This window comes from Homo sapiens, chromosome 2 (genome assembly GCF_000001405.40).
Source record: "Homo sapiens chromosome 2, GRCh38.p14 Primary Assembly".
NCBI lineage: Eukaryota > Metazoa > Chordata > Mammalia > Primates > Hominidae > Homo > Homo sapiens.
The window spans coordinates 9,296,232-9,322,518 of record NC_000002.12 but is presented as its reverse complement, the minus strand read 5'-3'; the positions used below and the strand labels follow the sequence as shown (position 1 = coordinate 9,322,518).

General features: G+C 47.6%; 1 protein-coding gene across 22 annotated transcripts in view, besides 1 other annotated feature; it reads right to left on the bottom strand.

The window, feature by feature from the left end:
* The window catches only part of ASAP2 (ArfGAP with SH3 domain, ankyrin repeat and PH domain 2), a 198,867-nt gene that overhangs the window by 83,160 nt on the left and 89,420 nt on the right, over positions 1 to 26,287 (bottom strand). For 17 of the 22 annotated variants that reach the window (XM_011510403.4, XM_011510407.3, XM_011510404.3 and 14 more), the window contains 3 exons: positions 25,074 to 25,219; positions 3,921 to 3,995; positions 2,182 to 2,231 (listed from right to left, as the gene is read on the bottom strand). In XM_011510403.4, coding sequence (XP_011508705.1) covers positions 2,182 to 2,231; positions 3,921 to 3,995; positions 25,074 to 25,219 — 271 coding nt within the window. The remainder of the gene's footprint in view (positions 1 to 2,181; positions 2,232 to 3,920; positions 3,996 to 25,073; positions 25,220 to 26,287) is intronic. The other 5 variants (XM_011510405.4, XM_047446199.1, XM_047446208.1 and 2 more) reach the window with 1 other exon arrangement.
* Positions 22,368 to 22,867: an enhancer, noted in NCBI's record as "H3K4me1 hESC enhancer chr2:9439781-9440280 (GRCh37/hg19 assembly coordinates)". NCBI's record gives its function as "activates a minimal SCP1, AML or CMV promoter by ChIP-STARR-seq in naive H9 embryonic stem cells {active_cell/tissue: H9 hESC(naive)}" and the evidence as "EXISTENCE:reporter gene assay evidence [ECO:0000049][PMID:30033119]".

Here is a 26,287-nt window from a genome sequence, read left to right as displayed (position 1 = left end):
TCGTGGCTGCTAAGGTGGGCTTGAAATAGCCGTGAGTTTTTATTCTGGAGAAAAGGAGACTAAACAAAACCAACAGAAAGCACTCAAAAAACAGAAAGGGCTGCCATGAAGACAAGGGAAGCAGCTCTTTCTGTAGAGCCTGAAGTAGACACCAGAAGACCCAAGTAGCATGTTCTTTCAAAGGCATCCAGTGATGAAATGGGCTACTCAGGGTTCCAGAGGGCTCCCTGTCATTAGGGCAAGGAGGACTAGAGTGTTTAAGAAGAGGCAAGAAATGTGATTTCTCTGTGTGTCCTGCACTGTGTAGGTTCTCAATAATTTGAAGGAGTGAATGAGTGAAAAATAAACACACAGGAGACCCTTTGGGAGGGATGTTGTTGTTTAATGAGTCTATGCATCCGGAAAGGAGTGTGACTGGAGGGTCCCTGGGACTAGAATTATACAACTCCAAGGTGTCGCTGACACTCCTTCACAGGCAAGAGACCGTCCAGACACTGGTCATTTCTCTTAATAATCAGGTATGGGACTACTGCCCAGGAATTTTAAAGACATCTAAAACCTATTATGGTTGTTACATATCACAAAACCTCTTGGGATAAATGAATCTCCCACATTAATAAAGAATTATTTCCTTTATTTATCCTACAATTACTTCAAGTTTAAAGGGTGCTGCTCCCTCCTCCTAAATTCTAGGGTTTTGTGAGGAATTCTGTCCCCATCCTACCCATGTGTGTCTCGATTTTACAGAATTTGATGTTATCCTTCTTCCAAACCTTTTCTTTTCAGAACCAGATGACTCTCTCAGGCACTCTTCTTCAGAAAGCCCTTTCTGCCCTTGGTCTAGTCACACACAGGACCATTTCCTATCAGCCACAGAGACGGGCAGCAAGGGAGGCTGAGTGAAGTGGGAAAGCTGCTTCCTGGCCTGGCTCAATTACTCTTACTGGCTGACAAGCAGAAACCACTGACTCTTGGTTTTCCCTCTGCAAAGCAGGAATCCGCTGGTCCCTTCCCATTTATTTCACCCAACTGGCACACAAATAAAGGATGCTGACGGACCAGGGATCCTGGGTGGGGGCCTCCCTGGGCTGAATGGACCTGCAGGGTTCTCTAGTCAACACTCTGCCTGTGCTTCTGAATGAATGTACACCATCAATGAAACTCCAGAACTCGGGGCCAAGCAACCTCGGGTATGGAAATGTAAGATTCCCATGGATAGAAGGAGTATCAAAGGTGTGGGGCTCACTGATTTGAGCTTTGTGATCCTTCACCACTGGAAAGATATCCTGAGCTATTTTTTTTTTAAACAATCTAATGAAATACTTGTACTTAGATTTGAAATGACTTCCTCATAACACCTTTTAGTTTAACAGATAGCTTCATATGGAAGTTTCTATTTCCATTCAGAGCACTCCAAGACACAGAGATTACAAAGTAAACACCACATTTCATATCTTTCCAGTATTTAAAATAATTGAAGCCATTATTCCCCCCATAATTACTTGCTTGATCAATTCCCTGTAGCTCGACTCTCTCTACTCTAGGGATGAGAAACTGTGATTGGGGAAGTTACAACTGCCTGAAGTCAACCAACAGAGTCTTGTCTATTGGTTGACTTCGGGTCAGGAAACCAATTCTACTTCTTGTAGAAACCGTAGTTCACATCCAAGAATCAATTCTCCATTCTTCAGGTTATTTTTTGGCAGATGAATCTGAAGGAGACAGGTATTGAACCCTCTTTCTAAAACCAAGGGAACTGGTATTTCAGAGAAACACAGATACAAAGCTAAGCAGCTTTCACAAATCACCAGGAAGATGAAGTCTGAAAACTGCCCTGCTATCAAAAACAGTAACGGAATGGACAAAGTGTTTAAAAACAAAAACAGAAAGAAATACCTCCTAAGAGAAATTGGTCTTAACTTCCCTCAATGAACTTTCCTGAAAATAACATCCTATAACCACTATGACATCTTAGACAAAGGAACAGAAGAAAACAGATTAGAAGAAGAAGACAGCATCACCAAACACATCTGTCATCAAAATGAACCACAGCAACATGGCTGATAAACATTCTTTTCTGGATTAAGGTTTATTTGGACAATCCCTTTAAGCAATACGAGGTTGGTTTAAATTTGAAATCCCAAATTACCTATACGTAAATTTAAAAACGAGAACACTCACATTTTTGTTTCATAGTCCTTCCAAGCTTTATCAAAAGGCTTTTTCAGATCCTGTAAACAAAGAATAATAAATTAGGCAAGACTAATCATTCACTTCTGTGCAAGATAAACTTACTTATCCCTGTACTAGCCCTGAAAGGAGCATTAATTTCTGCAATAAATGACGTATGTAATCCCACGAAAAATAAAGAACCAAGAGTACATGCTTTTAAGTAGACCAGTGGTGGCATTTCCTTTCTTTCTCTTAAAATAATATAGAATATACTAAATGTACACAAAAGCAAGGTGCTGCCACCCAGTTATGACACTCTTGGGCCACCTTGTGTCACCTGTGCCCTACTCCCTGCCCTGGGCCTAATCTGAAAGTAAATCCTGAAAGACAACCTTTCATCTGCAAATACTTCAGGATGTCTCTCTAAAAGAAAGGAACTCTAATTGATAGATGAATCTCATCACATCTAACCCTGCTTTAAGCCCAACGACAGAAATAGAAAGGCCGCCACATCCTCCTAGGGTCTCTTACTGCTCTTCCGTGTGCAATTCAGGACTTCATACACTCTGGTAAAGCCTGCCTCAAAAACTACTGAGCCACTGGAAATTCTATTGAATGGTCCTCACCTATTTATGCTCCCTTCAAAGGGGTTCTTCAGGGAGACAGAAATCTTTTTGTTGTTGCTGTTGACTACTTTTTGGCTTTTCAATGGCCTCAGGTAAGGCCCAAGTGCCACAGCCTGGCACACAAGTCCCTGCACGAACTGGCTCCTCCTGCACCCTGGCAGCCTGACATGCAGCACTGAGCCCTGCTCCCTGTGCGCACCTGCGCCTTTCCTCTGCCTGGGATGCCTTCCCGCCCGTGAGTTGGGCTAACTCCGCTGACCTGTTCTCCAAGCCCCTGAAGGCTCGATGGGGAATGTGTCTGAACAGCTCTCTCCGGGCACACTCTGTGAAGGAGACCCTGAGAGGCCTCTGTAGAGGTCCTGGAGATGGGTCAAGACTGGGTTTCCAGTCATCCCCGATGGGACCCAGGAATCGTGCGCAGATCCAAAGAATTTGAGTCTCCCGAGAAGGCAGCCACAATCACGTCCCTTCCGTGGTGCACGTCTGTCAGGGCTGGCGATGCGCAGGGGCAGCGCGCTGCCTGGCAAACGCGCCTCTAGCCCTGTCCGCTGCCCCCGAAACAGCTCCTGGCCTGCGTGCTCATGAGCAAACGCCCCTCCAGCCCCGTCTGCTGCCCCCTTAAACAGCTCCTGGCCTGCGTGCTTATGGTGGCTAGGCATGTCCTAAACAGCCAACATCCTCTGAAGGACAGAGAGACAAAGTTGGCTCATGCCTGACGACTGCGACCTTCCCAGCAGGAAAATACACCCTTGCTAGGATCCTTTCCCAGTGCTAAATGGGCAACGTGCCAGCTAGAAAGCCCGACTCCTCCCACAGGTTTCCCTGCTCCCTGGAGAGACCGAAACTCTTTACTTTTTCCAAAATAGCAGTTTTCTTTCCCTTCCCAGTCTCCTCCCCTCACCAACTTTGTTGTGCCAACAGGACGGCCAGAAAGGCCAGAAGTCACCACCTTTTTGGCTGAAAGGTGGTCCCAAGATGGCAAATCAGAGGAAGCTGAGATAAAAGAGCCATCCTATCGTCCCAATGAGAACGTACTGGCGTGGCTGCTGCCCGGCAGGCCAAGCTACTGTGACTCTACATGGTGTAAAAGCTGCCCCTGGTGTCACAGTGTCAATGTCATACCCCTTTCACTCCTTTCAGGTCCCCCTTCAGCAAACTGTCCAAAGGGAAGGAGATTATGTTGTTCATATTCTGAATCTAAAAAACAAAAACAAAAGGAGATTCTTATTCAGCTTCCTTGTGAATCTAAAGTAAGGACAGCAAGGACATTAGAGAGAACATTTGATAATGATTCACCTCCACCTAAAACCTGGCCGGTGCATGTACTGTGCCTTATTCAGTCATACATTCTTTGTAACAATTTCATCTTACAAATGAATAGAGGGCTAATGAAAAGTCTAGGTCTGTATATATTTCACAGTAACAATCTTATATTGTTATGCTAGAAAGTTTGTAAAGAGACAATCATTGCAGTGAAGAAAAAATATTTCAAAACATTCAATGACAGAATTACGTCGAAAGCCTAGAATAAAAGGAAACCCCCACTTCTGACTCTCAATCACGGCTCCACCCATAAGCTGGACTGTACTGGGGTTGGTGCTCTGGGCCCCAGGCCCCAGTCTCCACAGCAAGCTCCAAGCAGGGGAAACAAAGGCAGAGTCTTCTGTCTGCTGCAAAGGCACACGAGCGAATGCTGGGTGCGAATGAGAAAAGACGTGTGTGTGTTGGGGACGGAGAGTGTGTGTCAATGAGTGTGTACGACTGAGTGAGGGTGTTGTGGGTGTGTAAAGGTGTGACTGTGCTTGAGTATAAGAGTGAATGCACATGAGGGTGTATGTGAGTGAATGTGGGTATGAGTGATCGTGTAGGTGTGTGAGGGAGCATGTTAAGGGACTAAGGGTGTGATTGTGTGAGTGTGTGAATGCGATTGTGTATGGGTGTGTGAGGGTGTGATTGTGTACGGATGTGAGTGTGAGTGTGGATGTGAGTGTGAATGTGATTGTGTATGGGTGTGTGTGGGCGTGTGAGGGTTTCAGGATGTGATTATGGATGTGAGTGATTGTGTAAGTGTGTAAATGTGTGTATGGGTGTGTGTGGGTGTGATTGTGGATGTGAGTGCGTGAATGTGATTGTGTACGGGTGTGTGGGTGTGTGAGAGTGTGATTGTGGATGTGAGAGATTGTGTGGATTTGAGTGTGGGGTGTGATTGTGGGGGTGTAAGTGGGTGTGTAAGGGTGTAAGTGACTGAGTATAAGGTGAATGCACATGTGTGTGTGAGAATGTGAGTATGTGTAGGTGTGTGAGGGAGCATGTGTGTGTTTGAGGGTGTGTGTGTGGATGTGAGTTGGGGGTGAATGTGAATGATTGTGTGAGGGTGTGTGTGAGTGAAGATATGATTGTGTGAGTGGATGTGGGGGGCTGTGATTGTGAGGGTGTGAGGGTGTGGATATGAGTGTGTGTGATGCACGGGGTGTGTATGAGTGTGGTTGTGTGATTGTGTGAGTGTGGATGTGAGTGGGTGTGATTGCGTGGGGTGTGTGTTGAGTGTGGTGAGAGTGTGGATGTGAGTGGGTGTGATTGGGATGTGTGTTGTGTGGTTGTGATTGCGTGGGGTATGAGTGTGGTTGAGTGTGTGTGTGGATGTGATTTTGTGTGGTTGTGTGGAGTGTGGATGTGAGTGATTGGGAATGATTGCATGTTGTGTGAGTGTGGTTGTGAGAGTGTATGAGAGTGGACATGAGAGGGTGTGACGGGGGGTGTGTGGGAGGGTGTGAGAGTGAGGGTGTGATTGTGAGGGGGTGTGTGTTGGGGGGGTGTTGCTAGGCAAAGGAGATAAAAGGGAACAGGAAGGGCAAGAGCCTTGGTGCCCCCATTCTTCTCCCTGAAGCAAGAAGGCAGGAGAGTGGGGACACACACCGTCCGCATGGATTAAATTGGGTGGAATGGAAGCCTCCTAACCAACAGGTACACGAGGAGCAAGCAAGTCTCCGTGACAGCAGTTCAAATGCGAGTCAACTCAAGATGCGAAACTTCAGTCAGGAAGAGCCTTCAAGTACGGACTCAGAGCCCTGAGCCTGAAAAGATTCCCTCCCTCAAGTGGAAAACGAGCTCGAAACCCACTTTCGCACTTCCCAGGCTTGGACCACTCCCCTGAATCAACCCAAGGGCCAGTTCCCACTGCTGGGCCCCTGTGGCTTCTGTGACACTCTGGGCTTCTAGATTACAGGCCCAGAGAAGGAGAAGGACGAGAAGAGGGACTTGGGACCTTATGTATTCATTCATACCATCAAGCAAAGGAAAGTTTTATTTTTAGTATAATTATCTTAAATAGGAAGATAAAATGGCACCACTTTTAAAGCAATATGGCATCCGATTTCTATACACCATTCAGTGTACTAATTTTTTTTTCTTTTTTTTTGAAACAGGGTCTCACTGTGTCGCCCAGGTTGGAGGGCACTTCAGCCTCAACTTCTTGAGCTCAGGCGATCCTCCCACCTTAGCCTCCTGAGTAGCTGGGACTATAGGCACGGGCCAACATGCTTGGCTAATTTTTTTTTTGTAGTTTTTGTAGACAGGGTTTCACTGTGTTGCTCAGGCTAGTCTTGAACTCCTAGACTTAAGCAATCTGCCCTCCTCGGCCTCTCAAAGTGCTGGGATTACAGGCATGAGCCACCACGCCTGGACTAAATTTTACATTAGAAACAGAAATGTACTTGGAAAACACTGGTAAGGTGTATAATAACGTCTGCATCCACAGCCAATTCTGCTAAATAAATGATCAATTAATGACTGTCATTTCAGAAATAAACTTTTTTGGGGAACTTTTGCCCTAGGATTAAACAACTCAACATTTCTCACGTACCTGGCCTTCCTCCAAGGTACAATGTCATCAGCTATGTCTTGCTAAGATCAGCCTTAAGCATTAAATTTTTAAATGCTGAAAAGCGCAGTTTAAGGTGCGGTCTTAGGAACGACTGGAAGGAACAAGGACAAACAGAAGGCCGTGCTGATGAGTAACCTACGACAGCAAGCACGCCTAGATTTCCACTGTCATTGACAGTCCTGGCAGCCAGACAGGTGAGTGAGGAATGAAACTCCCGTCACAGTTCCCGCCTCCAGGGCCACATTTCCCTCTACTTGCAGGCAGCCCCAAGTATGCAGCCAGCTCTCCTTCCTCCAATGCTCTTCCTTCCTACAAAGCCCTCTCTCCCACCCTCCTCACTTGCTTGACACCCAAGAGTCATCTCTGACCCCAGTGCTGCCACCCAGCCGTGCGGCACGCTTCTCAACAAATTCCAGGTCTTAACCCTACATACGCAGACCCGTCTTCCAACATTCCCTCCATGCCATTCTCACGTCCACTGCCTTGGCTGCGCCTCACTGCTCCTTCTCAGGACTAAGGCTATGGCTTCCCCTGCTCCCTGCTGCCGCTTCCTAGTCTCTGCCTGCCCCACTCCCCGCTTCAGGGCTATGGCAGGCTTGTCTGGGGTTGTGTCCCTAATAAAGACTAAACTACTTATTCCTGCATTTCACACTCTCCACAATCCATCCTTATTTTCCATGTTTCATCTTCATATTTCTCCAAACTGAACTCTCTCCTTCCCTGATTCTACGCATGTGCTCAATTTGTTCTATTCGACGGAAACGTCTTCCCTATCCCTGCTGTTCAAAGCCTTCTCATCCATCAGGAGTTACTCAAACGCCACCTTCTCTACTAAGCAACCCCAGCAGAATGTGATCCCTCCCTCCCCCAGATCCTCCAATATTTTCTTTTCTATTTTTTTTTTTTTTTTTTTTTGAGATGGAGTCTCACCCAGGCTGGAGTGCAGTGGCGTGATCTCGGCTCACCGCAACCTCTGCTTTCCAGGTTCAAGTGATCCTCCCGCCTCAGCCTCCCGAGTTGCTGGGATTACAAGCACCCACAACCATGCCTGGCTTTTTGTATTTTTAGTAGAGACGGGGTTTCACCATGTTGGTCAGGCTGGTCTCAAACTCCTGACCTCAAGTGATCCACCTGCCTCGGCCTCCCAAAGACCTGGGATTACAGGTATGAGCCACTACACCCAGCCCCTTTTCTAAATGTTTTAAGGCACTTGGCAGGCTCTTCTCGTGTTCATCTTAGTGATCTCACACACTAAGTTCTAAAGGGTAGCATCCACCTTTATTGTATTTTATATTTACCAGAGCTCTTAGCATGGGGCTTGGCCTAGAATAGAGGCTTAAAAATTATTGATGGAAGAAATCAGTATACTGAAATATTTTTTTGGGCATCGAATATGTGAAAGACAGAATCTACAGGGGCTTCAGATAAAATGTTAGTTCTATTAACACCTTAAACCAAACATAATATAGCAAATGCATGTGTGAATTCATTCATTCAAGTGATTTATTGAGCACCTATTTTGCATACAGCAACAGTAGGTAAATTTACAAAGGAGGCTGAGTGTGGTGGCTCATGCCTGTAATTCCAGCACTTTGGGAGGCCGAGGCAGGCAGATCACCTGAGGTCAGGAGTTCGAGACCAGCCTGACCAACACGGCAAAACCCCATCTCTATTAAAAATACAAAAATGAGCCAGGCGAGGTGGCGCACGCCTGTAATCCTAGCTACTCGGGAGGCTGAGGCAGGAGAATCACTTGAATCCAGGAGGCGGAGGTTGCAGTGAGCCAAGATGACACCACTGCACTCCAGCCTAGGTAACAGAGCGAGACTTTTGTCTCAAAAATAAAATAAAATAAATTTACAAAGGTAAATGAAACACGATGCCTGCCCTTTCAGAGGAAGAATTATGTACATACACACCAAGAATGTAAAATTCTAAGAATACCACATAGTAGCATATTTTACACTGCACAGATACTAATGGCTCCTCATTGATGAAAGGTGAGAAAACAGTGACTTAGGTTTTAGGTGGTCAGGCCAGCTGGCCTGGGCTTGGGAAGAAGGAAGGGTAACTGTCCCAGTTACTAACCCCTGAGATGCTCACTGCCCACTCATCTACACGATCATACAAAACCACAATCAGAGTCACCGGCGCAGGTCAATTTGGTCCTGAACCCTGCCTGGCTGGGAGCCAATGCTGTGCGGTCTAGAACAAGGCACGTGCAAGAAAGAAGGCAGCCTACAGGGAGGATTAGAGTCGCTGTCCGGCAGCTGGCGGGGGCAGCGCCAAAGGCACCAGAACCATCCAGTGATAAGGTGGGTTGTGGGGAAGAAAGTTAAAAGTGTCCACAAGTTAAAATTCACATTTCTAAAGAGAATCTTAGGTTTTTCATGAAGCGGGAGTACACACATGAACATGAATGTACACGAGTGAGTGGGAAAAACAAGATTCTCTGCAGCAGAGAAAAAGAAATTCATCACAATTTGGTTTATCCATCTATTTTGAGATTATTCGTTATTTAATTCCAATAAGAACTTAGGTGCTGTTAATAATAGATTAGGGTGAGAAGAGATCAACTATGCTTTGGGACCTACAGCAAAAACATTCAAGTGGAGAAGAGTGAACACTCCACGGACATGCAGACCCACTTGGTCGGCTTGCTTTCGTTCTTCGTTCATTTCAGCAGTGAGTGTGACCTCTGGATGCTGGGAACAGGGCCCGCAGCCTAGTGGGCAATGAGACACTCAACAACCAATTGCAGCTTTTTTTTTTATTTTTTAAGACACAGTTTCACTCTGTTGCCCAGGCGGGTGTGCAGTGGCACGATCTTGGCTCACTGCAACCTCCACCTCCCAGGTTCAAGTGATTCCTCTGCCTCAGCCTCCCAGGTAGCTGGGATTACAGGCACACGCCACCATGCCATGCCCAGCTAATTTTTGTATTATTAGTAGAGACGGGGTTTCATCATGTTGGCCAGGCTGCAAGGACAGCTCTGATGACCACTGTAAAGGAGCCACATGTGGCCGCAGTGGTGGCAGGAGAGGGGGGTGTACGGATGAGTTAGGAAACAAAAACAAGCTAGTGAGGACCTCAGTCCTCAGACAGCCTCTCCCCTCGGGTGAATGGGGAGACACGCCCCATGTTTAGGTAAGTAAACTACCAAGTGGAAACTCTGAGAGCCAGGAATGAGACACCATGGAACTTCAAGGAAAACACATTATTTCTAGCCTAGATACCAGAGGAGCCAGGACTGAGACATCATGGAACTTCCATGAAGAGAACATTATTTCTAGCCTGGATACCAGGGAAATCTCTGTTAAGCAGTGGATGTGAGACAGACCTTCAAAAGATGGGGCATCGTGAGGTGGGGGCAGGGGTAGACTGGGCAAAAGGAATGGCATAGAGGGTGGTCGAAGTGCTGGTGTGGGCCCTGCCAGCCGTGGCAGTCGAGGAGTCAGCAGAAGGCAGCAGCTGGAGAGAGAGAAGCCTGGTGCCAGGTCAATGAGGGGGATTCTGGTTTCATTCACGGTTTTTCTCTTTGGAATTATTTAAATTATCCAAAATAGGAAACTATTACTTTTCTAATCAGAAAATAAATTATTATAATAGAGATTGAAAAGTAGATCAGTGGTTGCCTGGAGCAAAGGGGAAGATGGGATTAACTGTAAAAGAACATGAGGGTCCTTAAGGGGAGAAGAAAATGTCCTAAAACGGATTTGAGGTGATGGTTGCACCACTTGGTAAAGTTACTGGAAATCACTGATGTGTACACTTGAAATGGGTGATTTTTATAATACATAAAATATGCTTAACAAAGGTGTTTACTTTTTAAAGAAAATCTCACAAATATAAATAGAATCCCCATCGATGGCTTCACTAATAAAGCTTCCAGACTCCTGGACATCAGCCTGCTTGCCTCTGCCTTTCCATGCTTGGTGTATGCAATCCACACAGCACACACGCCTGGTGGCTCAGGGAGAATTTCCCAGGACATGGCCACTCTGGTCTCTGTCTGGGCCAGAGAACAAGTGCGTGGGGGCCAGACGCGCTTCTCGGCAGGTGTGCCCTGCAGCCTGAGTGGCGGGCAGGCTCTGGGCTTCCTCTGTGTGTCCAGCAGCCTCAGGCCCGCAGCCGAACGAGCCATCCTCGAGTTCTGGCCGAGAGGGACGGAAACCACAGCCAGAAGATGATTACATATCCCTTGTGCTCAGGCAGCTCCAGTCTCAATTTATGAGTAATGACATTTTCATGCTCTATGGGAAGAATTACATTATCCCTGGGTAACCCAACCAGAATATTTTCCTTAGCACCAAGAAAGCATAGGGCTTTCTCTTATGTTCTGACTCACTTTTAACAAATATATTATGTAAAATGGCTTTTTAAAACATCGAGTGCAACCTGAATACAAATTATTAATCTTAATCACTGCTATTAACGTTGGACCAACAAGCAGGCAAACTTTTTTTTTCTTTTTTTTTTTGAGAGAGTGCCTCTCACCCAGGATGGAGCACAGTGGGGCTCCAGTGATCCTCCCACCTCTGCCTCCCGAGTAGCTGGGACCACAGGCATGAGCCACCATGCCTGGCTAATTTTTTTATTTTTATTTTTTGTCAAGACAGGGTCTCCCCATGTTGCCAACGCTGGTCTCAAACTTCTGGGCTCAAGCAACCTACCCACCTCAGCCTCCCAAAGTGCTGGGACTATAGGCATGAGCCACCACACCCAGCCCAGGCAATCTTTCAAAATAACAATCCTTCCTTTCCCCACCCCTACTTCCTGTCTTAGCTTTTCCCCCCGAGTTCACTTGGATATGTCTGACAAGGTAAGTAAGTAGTCAAAGGTCTGTGATCTCACAAGTAGAAATAAAATGATTCAGTCAGTGGGGCAGGCAGCACATAGAGCTATTAGATATAAAGAACAAAATCATTATGCTAATGTCACAGCTGATGAGCAAACAAAGATAGGCCAGAAGGCACAGAGGAGGGGAACAGAGCCAGCCAAACAGCCATCTCTTCACAATGTCCTTCCTAATATTTTTTATTTTTTGGTGGGGGTGGATGGTGGTGGTGGGGATCTTAAAATTCCTTGCCTGTAGATCTGTCACTTTCTACTTTCCCCCACCCTTCAGTTCACAGGTCACCCTCTCTGTTCTCTGGCCACTGATCAACAGCTGCTGATCCAGCCAAAGTGTGGAGGTGCAGCCCCACCCCAGGGAGCTGCAGTGCTGCCTTCTGACTTAGGCAGTGAGTAATTCTGCTTTGTCAAATGATCTTGCCCAAAGGGATCCCATCTAGAAGCCTGAAGCTAGACAGGATTCTTACATCATAGCTATTTTTAAGGAGCAGCCAAAGGTCACTGGGCAGAATCTTTCCAGCTCTAGCCTCAAAGGTCTAGAAAATAACAGGTCTTCCCAGGGCTCACCTCCAAAACCCTTAACAGAATCCAACTCTCTTCGAGGATAATCAGCTTTTCCTTTAAAAAGCCATTTTGTTACCATGTAATATACAATATGGCCAAAGGATCTTACCTGAGGCTTGCCTGCATCATGTCACTTATTTGAATATGCCCAATTTATGAGAAACTTGAGAGGTAGAAAAGACGCTTTGAAATGTGGGGAGATTTTAATTCGAGCAAATGCTGCTCAGTCATAAGAGTTAAATAGGAAAAAGCACAGCTTCAGAGAAAGCAAACCACCTATTCACCTTCTGCACAGGCCAAGCAACACCTTGTCTAAGGGTGGGCAGTTGTAGAAAGACCTCACACCTCATTGTATCAATTAAGAGCATTCTTAGCAGAGGCTGCAGCATTAACAAGGGTATCAGAGTGTGAAACAGCCTTCCAGTGCTGGAAGCTTCCAGCCACCTCCAGGAGCCAGAGCTCACGGCCTACAACATGTGTGTGAGGCAGGCATTGAAGAGCGGAAAGTGGGCTTTGGACCTGTGATGTCCCACAGGACAGATAATAGCTACATGCCCCTCTTCACATTTAAATTGATTAAACTTAAATGAAGTTAAAAATTGAGTTCCTCAGTTGCCCTAGCCACATTTCAAATGCAATAGTCACATGTGGCTAGAGACTTGCTAGACTCAGTAAAGCAGATACACACTATTCCCATCAACGCAAACAGTTCTATTGGGCACCAACACTTTGGACAAATGGCTTTTGAAAAGTTTTAAGCAGCTTTATTGAAGTGTCACGGACAGACAATAAACCACACACATTTAAAGTATGACTTGATATGCTATGACACATGGATATTCCTATGAAGCTATCACCAAAATCCAGACTGGGAAAGTACCCTCTCACCCCAAGAGGATGTTTTCTTGTGCCCCTTTTGCAACCCCAGCTCCTTACCCCCAAGTCTCTGGCAACCCCTGATCTGCTTCTTTGCCAGAGAACACTGCACTTTCCGGAATTTTATATACGGTATCTGGAATCATCCCGCATGTACGCCTTTTCATCTGGCTTCTTGCATCATGATTTTGGGACTGCGCATGACTGTGCGATTCATTCATGTAGTTGCGTGTACCAGTAGTTCACTTCTTTTTCTTGGCCAGCACTGTTCCATCATATGGCTACACTGCCGTCTAGCCAGACACCTGCTGATGGACATTTGAGTTGTTTCCAGTTTGGGGGATACTACGGATACCACAAATAAAGATGCCATGATCATTTGTGGGATGGAGACTCTTTCAAATAGTGTCAGAAAGGCCTTTTTATAAGGTGGTCTTGGAGCAGAGCGCAAAGGAGGCGGGGCAGAGAGCCACATGAGGACCTGGGGGAAGTGCGCTCTGGGCCAACGGGACTCTAACACAAAGGTCCTGGGGCAGGAGTATGACTGGCAGGTTCAAAGGACAGCTCTCTGTTCTTTCTAAAGGCCGCTTATCTGAAAGAACGGGTATCCAGGCAGAAAGTATTTTTGAGAAGCACAAGGTACTGACTAAAATGGCCTGAATAAACCACCAGATGACACAGGGCCCTTTAATCCCATTCAACCCTTGCAATTACTCTGAGAAGTATGTGCCGTGACCCCCATTTTGCAGGTATGGCAACAGAGGCTTGAGTCATCCACGTTGCCTCCAAATCACACAACTATTAGCAGCGGAGTTGGCTAGAACAGTGAAGCCAGAGCTCTTCCTCTCAGCTCACTATTAAAGACGGCTGGACTGAAACTCCTGCTGGCACAGGGCAAGATGGTTTACACCTGCCAGGCCAGGCTAAGCTAAGCTGAGGCTGGGCACATGCTGCCATCCTAGATGCTGTCTCCATCGAAAAGCCCTCCTGTTCCCTTTTACACAGAGCAGCCCGTCAGGTACATACAAGGAAACTCTAAACAGGAAAATCACTGATGTGGTTTGGGTCTGTGTCCCCGCTCAAACCTCATGTCCAATTGCAGTCCCCAGTGTTGGAGCTGGGGCCTGGTGGGAGATGACTCAATCACGGGGGTGAAGTTCTCACGACTGGTTTGGCATCATGCCCCTTGGTACTGTGTAGCAAGTGAGTTTAAAAGTGTGTGGCACCTCCCGCCTCATTCTTGCCCCTGCCCACGGCCATGCGAAGTGCTGGCTCCCCCTTCACCTTCTGCCATGATTGTAAGTTTCCTGAGGCCTCCCCAGAAGCCGAGCAGAGCAGATGCTGCCATGCTTCCTCTACAGCCTGTGGAACCGTAAGCCAATTAAACATATGTTATATATGTGTGTGTTATATATGTGTTATATATATGTTACCCAGTCTCAGATATGTCTTTATAGCAGTGCAAGAACAGACTAATACAATCATCTAGGCCACTTTTGTTTTTGGTGTCAGTGAACAGATCCCCTGGGCCACAGAATTGCCTTGAGGTCTATCATACACACATGCATGCACACGTACACATATGCATGCACACAGACAAGCACACGTATGCACACACTCCCGTCTATGCACTCTCACACAGGGCCCTCCTGAACAGATGCGCCCAGCCCGTCCCTGGCAGCACAGTCGCTGTTTAATTAAAAAGGAGAAGGGGGAGCCCATGCTGATCCTAAGTGTTTAACACAAACTGAAAGATCAAAACCAGCCAGCTGCCAAAAACACATTGGCAACTTTCACACCAGAACAAGGAGGAAAATCGCTGACCTGGTTTCTGCTCTTAATGCTGCTTCTCTGGCAGTCAACAGCTCTGATCTTTCAGGCTCTAAGTGGAGAGAAAACTGGGCCCTCTGCCCCCTTCTCCACTAGAATAAAGGATAAGCTTGGACATGTCAGTCAGCCACCAACAACCACACTGACACCAGCTGAAGGCCGGTTCTGGGAGCCGGAGGGCAGCACTGGAGAACCCAGGACTCAGGCACCCAAAACTACTTCTAAAACCGGGTGATGGTAAAACATTTGCTGAAGCCATCAACCAGAAATGAAAGTACTTTTTCAAATGTATTACCTCCAAGAATCCAGGTTTAGGAAGTAGCTCTGACCTCCACAGGACCTGGGGCACCTGAAGTCTCCATCTCGCCAAGGGTGAGAGTCGGAAGCACTGGACCCAGGCTGTCCTTGGGGCAGTGGTTCTCAGTGTGGCTCCTGACCAGCAAGGCCAGCGTGACTAGGAACAGGAAATGCAAAACCCTGGGCCCTATCCCAGACCTGCGGAATCAGAAACTCTAGGGGAAGTCCAACAGGTGTGGTCTAACAAGCCACGCAGGCGATGCTGATGCACTCCAGCTGGAGAGCCACAACCCTGCAGGTGAGGTGTGGAGGCTGGGGCTGCGCATTTCTAACAATTCCGGTGCTGCTGGTGCAGCTGGCCCAGGGGCTGCACTTGGAGGACCTCTGCTCCAGGGCAGTGCTGCTCAAGCTTGACTGCCTGCTATTGCCTGGGGCTCCTACACACTAAGATTCTGGCTTTGCAGGCCTCCGAGAGGCTGGAATTCTAAGAAGCCCCAGGCGATTCCAGTGATGCTCTGTGGATGTCCGGCCAGGGCCCCTGGGGCACCAATGGTACAAACCCTGCCCACATGCCTTCTAAGCTGGAACCTGGAGTATATGGGCACTGATATGGGGTGCCAGGCTTCAGATTTTAAGCAATGATTACCAAACGGCTGAAAGTTCCCAAAGAAGGAGGAATGCAAACAAGCACATGCTGAATTTCTATCAATTCGCTGACAATTCCCTCAGCGAGCCAGGAGCAGAGGCTTGACTCCTGGCTGGGCTCATCAACCCGAGGACAAAGGGGCACAGGATCTCCACAGCTCACAGCCCCCCATTTTCCTTCTCATCAACCTTGAGCTTCCAGCTCCTTCCCTGGGGCCCAGAAACAGGCTCAAGCCCCTCTCACCCTAGGAACCCTTCCCACCTGCTTTCCTCTTCCGTTATCAACCCTTCTTAGAACAGTGAACACCTGTGGTCCCTATGCCTCCACCTGCAGCAGCCGCTCTTCTGCCTTTAAGAAAGTCTGGGAAACGTCCCTGAGGCCCCTCGCAGGCACCCAAGCCGACACGGCTGCTCTTCTGCATCCCTGCTGCGGATGTGGCTCCCCGACCTCCTTCACTCACAACCCCCACTACTACAGCCCTCCCACCCGGTATCTCTATCCCCTACAGCCCCACCAGGCCATATCTCCACCCCCAGTACTACAACTCTCCACGTGGTATATACACCCTCCTGCAGCGCTTCCACTCCCTCTCTACACCCCTAGAGCCCCTCCACCCCATGTCTACACCCCCACTACGCCAGCCCCTCCACCAATATATACACCCCTCACAGCCCCTACCCCCATAACCCCACCCCCTACAGCCTCTCTACCTCATATCGATACTCTCCCACAGCCCCTCCATCCCATATCTACCACCCCACTACTACAGCCTCTACACCAATATCTATACCCCACTACTACAGCCCCTCCACCAATATCTGTACCCCACTATTACAGCCCCTCCACCAATATCTATACCCCACTACTCCAGCCTGTCAACCAATATCTATACCCCACTACTACAGCCTCTACACCAATATCTATACCCCACTATTACAGCCCCTCCACCAATATCTATACGTCACTACTCCAGCCCCTCCAATATCTATACCTCACTACTACAGCCCCTCCACCAATATCTATACCCCACTACTACAGCCTCTCCACCAATATCTATACCCCACTACTACAGCCTCTCCACCAATATCTATACCCCACTATTACAGCCCCTCCACCAATATGTATACCCCACTACTCCAGCCTGTCCACCAATATCTATACCTCACTACTCCAGACCCTCCAATATCTATACCTCACTACTACAGCCCCTCCACCAATATCTGTACCCCACTATTACAGCCCCTCCACCAATATCTATACCCCACTACTACAGCCTCTCCACCAATATCTATACCCCACTACTACAGCCTCTACACCAATATCTATACCCCACTACTACAGCCTCTCCACCAATATCTATACCCCACTATTACAGCCCCTCCACCAATATCTATACCTCACTGCTCCAGCCCCTCCAATATCTATACCCCACTACTACAGCCCCTCCACCAACATCTATACCCCACTACTACAGCCTCTACACCAACATCTATACCCCACTATTACAGCCCCTCCACCAATATGTATACCCCACTACTGCAGCCTGTCAACCAATATCTATACCTCACTACTCCAGACCCTCCAATATCTATACCTCACTACTCCAGCCCCTCCACCAATATCTATACCCCACTATTACAACCCCCTCCACCAATATCTGTACCCCACTATTACAGCCCCTCACCAGTATCTATACCCCACTATTACGGCCCCTCCACCAATATCTATACCTCACTACACTAGCCCCTCCACCAATATCTTTACCCCACTACTCCAGCTTGTCCACCAATATCTATACCCCACTATTACAACCCCCTCCGCCAATATCTATACCTCACTACTCCAGCCTCTCCACTAACATCTACACCCCACTACTCCAGCCTGTCCACCAATATCTATACCCCACTATTACAACCTCCTCCACCAATATCTACACCCCACTCGTCCAGCCCCTCCACCAATATCTATACCTCACTACTCCAGCCCCTCCACCAATATCTATACCCCACTATTACAACCCCCTCCACCAATACCTATACCCCACTAGTCCAGCCCCTCCACCAATATCTATACCCCACTATTACACCCCCTCCACCAATATCTATACCTCAATACTACAACCCCTCCACCAATATCTATACTCCACTACTCCAGCCTCTCCACCAATATCTATACTCCCAAGACTACAGCCTCTCCACCCTGTATCTACACCCCCACAACTGCAGCCCTCCCACCTATGTACATCCCCCTACAGCCCTCCCACCTGTATCTACACCCCCCCTACAGCCCCTCCACCGCATATCTACACCCCCTACAGCCCTTCCACCCCCTATCTACATCCCCACTAGAGCCATTCCACACAGTACCTTGTAGATTTGGCAAACAATTTTTTTCTAAGTTTGAGGTCACCTACATCGTGGCAGTTGTCCCTTTAATAGCCAGCAATTAAGAAAACACACAATGACAAAAACAAAAACAAACCCTGTTTTAGGTTCATTAATACTTTCAAACAGAAACAGCATGTCCTACACACATTTGACAATTGTGAAGAAACTGATTTCTAAACCTTGCAAGCAGGCTTGTGTGCAGATGGACAAGTGCCATACTGCAGTGCCCCTCCACCCTCAGGGATCCAGGGAAGCAGGGACCCAGGGCTCAGGGCGGGGAGTCACTGCTCCCTGCTTCCAATGCTGTACCCTCAGGGCTCCGCAGGCTGCCAGTGGCTGTCCCGGCACATGTCTTCTAATAAAAGCATCTGTGTCCCCTGCCCAGGCAGGAGTTGCCAGAGGTCACCGCCCCATACAGCACCAGCGCATGGATAGCACCCAGCAGGTGCCCAGTCCTCGTCTCTGTGAGTTCTCCCTCCCACGCCCAAGGCCTCACCATGCTATCTTTGCCCAATATGGCTTCTCCCACTTTCTCTGTATGGGGGTTACCGTATCACAGCATTCCCTCCCAACCCCAAAAAGAAACAGTATCCAAGTCCAATGGAAATCTATTATGTGGCTATGCCACAACCAAAATGTAGATATCTGACACCAGCCTTATTTGTTCATTGTCTCGATCAAACAATGTGCTTTTGTTTTTGGTTAGAGATTTGTGAGTATAGAACATAGCTTAGCGTTGAAGTCTTTTGGGTCTTAGATAAGGAATTTCCAACTATAAATGAGGCCATGCCAAAATCTAAATGGCAGAGGTTTCTAGGGGCCCAAAGCGACTGTCAGCAAGTCCATCAAGGTACTCTCTCTCCCCTCCTCACTCAAAGCCCTAGCCCTCAAGCCCTCCTCAAGCGAAGCCTATGGACTCCTAATTTGCACCCAAGTCTAACAAGCCAAGTCACCTTGCTCTTCAGCTCGCAGCATCGTGAAACAGAGACCTTAGAGGCACCCAAGCACTGACAGCAGGAAAAAGGGCAACCAATAGAAAAAGTGTCAGAATATTAAAAAGCAAATGTCAGAAACGGACACCTAATAATAGTCCAGGACTAATCCAAGGGCGGATATTCCCACGTACCCCAAGCCACTGGGGATGTCTCTAGATTTCAGCATAGTTCATTAGTTTATGTCTAAAACAGTGACTTAAATCTTCCTCCCAAAAAGATGATACTATGATCATTGCTCTTGTTTAATTAAAAAACAAAGTAAGACATTTAAGAATCTAAGACATTTGCAATACAAGAAGTTAGGAGAAAGTCTATGGAAGTACTGAGGGTGAGGACCTCTGGTAGCAAGATGTCTATATTGAGTGACGAGACAAGCCTTACTAATATGGACAATCAGCTCACACTTAACCTAAGCCTGACAGCACTGGGCAGAGTCCTGCTGTACTAGTACCAATGCAGCCAAGCCAGGATGCCCCTCTGCCAGGTGCAGCACATATGAGAAAGCCACAAACTACTGCTTGTCCCAACAGAACCTTACTACCTCCCTAGTAAGGTTAGCTATAATGTCTTCTGACCAGGCGTGGTGGCTCACACCTGTAATCCCAGTACTTTGGTATTACAGGTGGTGGCTCACACCTGTAATCCCAGTACTTTGGGAGACCCAGGCGGGTGGATCACTTGAGGTCAGGAGTTCGAGACCAGCCTGGCCAACATGGAGAAACCCCGTCTGTACTAAAAATACAAAACTTAGCTGGGTGTGGTGGCTCGCGCCTATAATCCCAGCTACTTGGGAGGCTGAGGCACAAGAATAGCTGGAACCCGGGAGGCGGAGGCTGCAGTGAGCCAAGATCGTGCCACTGCACTCTAGCTTGGGCGACACAGTGAGACTCTGTTTCAAACAAACAAACAAAAAAAGTTGGCCAGGCATGGTGGCTCATGCCTGCAATCCTAGCACTTTGGGAGGCCGAGGTGGGCAGATCACGAGGTCAGGAATTCAAGACCAGCCTGGCCAATACAGTCAAACTCCGTCTCTGCTAAAAATATAAAAATTAGCTGGGCATGGTGGCACGTGCCTGTAGTCCCAGCTACTCGGGAGGCTGAGGCAGAAGGATCGCTTGAACGCGAGAGGCAGAGGCTGCAGTGAGCCAAGACTGCACCACTGCGCTCCAGCCTGGGCGACAGAGCGAGACTCCGTCTCAAAAAAAAAAAAAAAAAAAAAGGCTTCTAACTCACATCATCTGTGTTTGGGAAAAAAAAAAAAAAAAAGGCCGGGCGCGGTGGCTCACGCCTGTAATCCCTGCACTTTGGGAGGCCAAGGCGGGTGGATCACGAGGTCAGGAGATCGAGACCATCCTGGCTAACGTGGTGAAACCCCATCTCTACTAAAAATACCAAAAACTAGCCGGGCATGGCGGTGGGCACCTGTAGTCCCAGCTACATGTGAGGCTGAGGCAGGAGAATGGCATGAACCTGGGAGGCAGAGCTTGCAGAGAGCTGAGATTGTGCCACTGCACTCCAGCCTGGACAACAGAACGAGACTCCGTCTCAAAAAAAAAAAAAAAAAAAAAGATGATGGATACACACGTTGCTTGGTAGAGCTTTCCATTTCCTCTATCAACATGGGTGAGGGAAAACTCCTTAGCCCAGGGTCACCTCAGATCTCATGCTGCAACTCTGTCCTCTCCTCAGCACCCATTGGCTCCTGCTTTCAATGGATGCTGATCTTCATGTGGAGCGGGTTCTGCAGACCGTGAGGACATCTTTCACTAACAATCCTCTAACACTGGAGACAGAGACTACATATCTGTAACAAACCTTTCAGAAACCTGCCCTGAAATGCAGCCTTTCATTAGAAAGCCACTTCTCAGCACAGAGGTGGCCCTTGGAGTCTTTCCAGGATTCTCACATCCATTGGGGAAGAGGAAAAGAACCCCTGAAACTAGGCTGACTTCATAAGCACTTTAATTTCACACATGTCACATTTCTGGAGCCGTCTGGTTTTCCCTTTCATCCTGCATCACCGCAGAGAAAATTCACAGACTTCTGCAGGTGAGAATCTCACCCATTAGTAAGAAAATCTTGCTTTATATTAAGCTGGCATTTCTCTGGAGATCTTCCAACTGCTTTATAAACATTCTTTCACGCCTCCAAGCAGGTAGGTGGTAATTGTTATTCTTTCTGGACAAGAGGTAGCACTGTGAGTCTTAGCCAGACAGAACTGAAATGTTTTAAATGCCCGAGGGAAAGCAAAAGCAAGGCTTGGAAGATATGAGATAAGCCAGATGTGACCAAAAACAGGAAGAAGAATGGTGCACAAAATTCCAAAAAAGGAGACTTCCGCCATAATCCGCTCCCCATTTGCCCAGCTTTGCAGGAGCCGCCACTGGGCCTTCCTCTGGCTGTGCAGCTTCCACACCGGCGCTGGCCTGGAAAACCAGGCATGGTGAGTGCTAATTTTGGCTCATGTAAGAAATTTTCTCTCTCTTTGATCTTTGCCAGGAAATAGGATCAACAATCCGACTTCCATAAAGTGCAAGTTGAAACTTGAACCCTTATGATCAGTCAAGAAGGTGACAAGAGGCCATGGTTCCTTTAAATGTCACAATGACAACAACTTGGGTTTGGAGTGTTAATACCTGGGTTTGAATCCCAACTCTGTCCCTCACTAGCTAAGGGCCCTGTAAGTGACTGTGTGCCTTAAGAGGATGGTGATACAAACTATCCTGCACAGCTGCCAAGAGGAATAAATGAAACAGAGTATCCTTCATGCATAGCCCAGTGATTGCTACACCGGTGGGTGCTCATCAAATCACTGCCACAGATACCTTTATTGATACCTTTACTCTCTGTAGAAAGCTGGACAGCAACTAGGACCTGCAGTGATATGTGAAGTATTAAAAACTGGCAAAGCCACAGGGTGGTGAGCAATGTACCAGCTGTAACATGCAGGCCCTGCTCTGCTTTCTGCTTTTGCAGGAAATTTTATAAAGGAGAAGGAGGGATTCCTTTTATTTAACTATGCAGCTGCCCTTTTGTTAACTGAGACAAGTTAGTTTCGTCCGGATTCCATGGTGTGGAGTGCTCCAAGTGGGCCTGCCTAGGCAAGGACTCTGAGCCTCCCAAGAGAGATATTAGCTGCTGCTTCTTTTGTTTTTGAGACAGGGTCTCACTCTCTGTCGCCCAGGTGGAGTACAGGGGCGTGATGTCAGCTCACTGCAATCTCCGCTTCCTGGGCTTAAGCAATTCTTCAGCCTCAGCCTCCCGAGTAGCAGGGACTACAGCCGTGAGCCACCACGCCTGGCTAAGTTTTGTATTTTTTTGTAGAAACAGGGGTTCCCCATGTTGCCCAGGCTGGTCTTGAACTCCTGGGTTCAAAGCAACCCGCCCACCTTGGCCTCCCAAAGTGCTGGGATGACACATGTGAGCCACTGTGCCGGGCCAGATATTAGCTCTTCAAACCATTCAGGGCCTCAGTTATCTAATCTGTAAAGTGGGGATGACATTGACTGACCTTATGGGATTGTCATAAGAATTAAGTAAGCTATCCTGTGTAAGAGTCACCGGCTGGCTATAATCTATCCACACAATCAGGTATGGTATTATTATCTCCATGTTACAGCTGAGACAATCCAGGTCTAGATATCAGCTGAATAAAGGTAAAAGGGCAGTCTGGGAGTGAGAAGCAGAACCCGGGCCTCCACCCGTCTCCTACGTCGTCAGCCGTCCTGGGCTGGCTGCTTTCTAGGCCCCCTGCTTGGCAGCCCCGCTGGGACTTCCCTTCGCCATGATCCTCTTGGAATTCCCTTCCACTGCTTGCTTTCCTGTGTTGGGTCCTGTTTCCTGACTCTCAATTTCTTCTTTCTTGGCTTTTCCCTTCATTTTACTAAAACACATCCTTTAGGAGTTTCAGAGAAATGACACATGGGAGCCAAAGTTTTTAAGCCTTGCATGTCTGAAAATATCTTTAATTCTACTCTCGTCTTTGATTGGCTGGGCATCATTCCAGGCTGAGTTAGTTTCCTCACGATTTTAATGGCATTGCTCCATGCCATAACGTTTCCAGTGCTGCTGCTGAGAAGTTCACCACCATTCTGATTCTGAATCCTCCGGCTGCTGTCTGGAAGCTTTTAAGATCTTTTGCAAGTTCACACAGGGATGCCTCAGGGTAGGTCTTTTCCCTTATTGCGCTGGGTACTTGTGAGCCTCTCAACTTGGAGACTCTTCCGTTCCATTTTTAGAAATTGCCTTTAGATTTGTTGCATTGATGACAACCTTCTCTCTTTCTAAAACACCTGCCAGTTGGATGCTGGGCCTTGAGAATTAATCCTCGTCTTTTATCTATTTCCCACTTTTTGGTCTTTTTGATCTATTTTCTGAGAGATTTCCTCTACTCCAGCCCTTCCTGTTGGATTTTTAATGTTATATTTTCTTACCATAGTTGTGTCCCTGGCCTTCTTTCATAGCATGCTGCATCCCAGTCTTCCCGTACGTTCATTTTTCTGCTATTTCTGGTCTCCCTCATGCTGGAGGCTGCTCATCTGTACTGAAGTGTGAGGCACCAGGAAGCTAACAGGCAGCTCTGTGTGCATGGAAAGGGCTTATCCACCCAGGTGCGGGGAGAGCAGGCAGCCAACTGACTTTTCTACCAGGAGACGCCCTCCATGGCAGCATCTACGGATCTTTACCCTGGGCCCATGCAGTTTCTCCAGTTTAAAAAAAATCTCCACTCTTTCCCGACCTGGTGATGAGACCCCACCATGCATGCCTGCCAGTGTCCAGGGCATGGGGCTGAGGCAGGGCGAGGGCTCCACTGCTGAGCAGGTGGGCCGCCACTCTAGGATAAGGATGAAGGGGGATGAGCTTGACCAAAGCCCCAGGGGATTTCAAATTCCTCTAAGTGAAAAGCTCGAGCAGAGAAACAGTTTTTTACTTTTACCATTTCCTACAGAAATGTTCATAAGTGAAGACGGGGAGAAAGAGCAAGGGCCCGAGTGCTCCTGCTCTTCCCCTTCCCATTAGGAACTCACATGTGATGCTCCCTCATTTCTCCCCTTCTAAGGCCGGTCTCCCAAAACCACTGTCATCACCATCTCAGGAATGAGCTATGTTTTTCACTTGTTATGAGCTTCCTAACAGAGGACACGAAAAAGATGCTGTTGTGTGTGGCCTACAGAGAAAGCATTACTGAGTTCTTGACCTGGCCTTCCCTGACCTTTAGGAGAAACTGGAGAAGAAAAACAGGAAAGAAAAGCTGGAGCGATCCCAGGGTCCATTCCACCCGGGCAGGGTCCCAAACAGCCCTCTTGGGCTGCCCACTTCTTCAAAATGTTGTCCCCATCACGAGGATAGCACAGAGCTGCCAGGCACAAGAAAGGCGCAATTCACCCACAGCACCAAGCAGCAGCCACAGGCAGCAGGCACCAGCACCGCATTCCCACGGCTGAAAACCGAGGCATTGCTCTCAGTCCTGCTTTTTTTTAGGTTCTACACTTGGGAGCACAAAAGGCCTTTAAATATTCATGGTAATTTCTGTGCTTTGATTACAGGTTACCTTGCTGTGTAAGATGGGCCTGAAACATATTTATTAAATATTATAAGCTTAAATGCCTACTATAATTACCAGAAGGAGAGTAGTCTACACAGTTTAGAAACTGTTAAAAATTCAAGTCAGAGGCCCTTAAGAAGACGAATGCATTTACCCATTTTGTCCCATAGCTGTGTACATTTAAATTGCAGAGCTGAATTTTAAGTCTTGTTAAAGTAAAAATTACAATTTTAAACTTTATTCCAAACTGACCCAATGTGTATAAAAACATAATTCTTTTGGGTACCCAAGGAACTATGAAATGCATTCCTAGTTTATCAAACAAACCATAACTATCCTCTACTGAGCCACTTTCCCAACTGAAGTAACCGCAGCATTTCATACACAGAGCTGCTTACCAGGTTTTTGAAAAGTGCTGTCAACTCCTTTGTAAACACTGAGAACTTCAGGAACGCACTTCCTAAATCTGGGTCATCTCTGCATACACAGTTGCCGCCAAACTTCTCCAGAGCCTGGGTGTACTGCTCTTCATTTTCCACGTGAGCTGCAACAGAATGACGGAGGTGCTGTGAGTCTCAGGCATGCCACCCTCACTCCCCACCAGGTTCTTCTCGGTTGTGAATAACACTGAACACATCAGCAGAAGAAAAATCTGAGAAAAGTCAAGCTGCACCAGGAACAGAAATAGCTTCGTTATCCCAACAACAACCCGTGGTGCCGGCAACAGATCCCAAAGAACAAGTGTGGTATGCAAGAGGGGAAGCCCTTGCCCACGTCCAGTGGTCCTCAGCATATCAGATGAGATGGCCAAGGACACACAACATTTCCACCTCTCCGAGGACTCTTCCTTCACCAAATGATGGCACAACTCACCAGACTCAGCCCCCTCCCAGAAACTCAACCACAGATGCCCCATTCCTCTCTAGCCTGCAGCCCAGGACTCTGATTCAGAGCCCCACACAGCAGCTCCTTCTCCTTTTAATACAGCAACAGCAGTGGTCTTTGCAGCTCCAGTGCCTCTGCTCAGGATGCAGCCTCTACCCAGGGGCCCTTCCCTCCCAAACTCCTCTGCATCCTACAGACTCATGCTTCCTCCAGGAAGCCTTCCATGACTCTGCCCTACACCCTGGGTATTTCATTGGCACCTCTCCTATCCTTGCACTCAGCATGTTATATTGAAATAGTCTGGCAAATGTGTTCCCCATACATCGGATGTGCTTAGAGTTGACAGACTAAGTTGTATTCATCTTCGACGAAGTCGTGTGCCTGAAATATTAGACAACACACATGTTGTTTGAGCAGAAAAAACATACCAGGTGCTTACATCTCATGGCATTTTACTATCATTAGGCCTCAAAGTAGCACCTGAAAGAGTGAAAATCTGGACTCTGGGTCTCTGGCACAGTGGTTCTCAATCCCTGCTGGACGCCAAATGCATGCATGGATTTTCACCAAACTCTAGACACCACCGTCCCATCTCAGACCTCTGATTTAAACCGTGGGTAGGAATGGGGGAGGGGACACAGGTGATTCTGGTAAATTAATGTGGTTGAATATAATTCCCTCACTTCTAGGTCAGGCACTTTCAAAGGAAACCAGCCAGTCTATAATA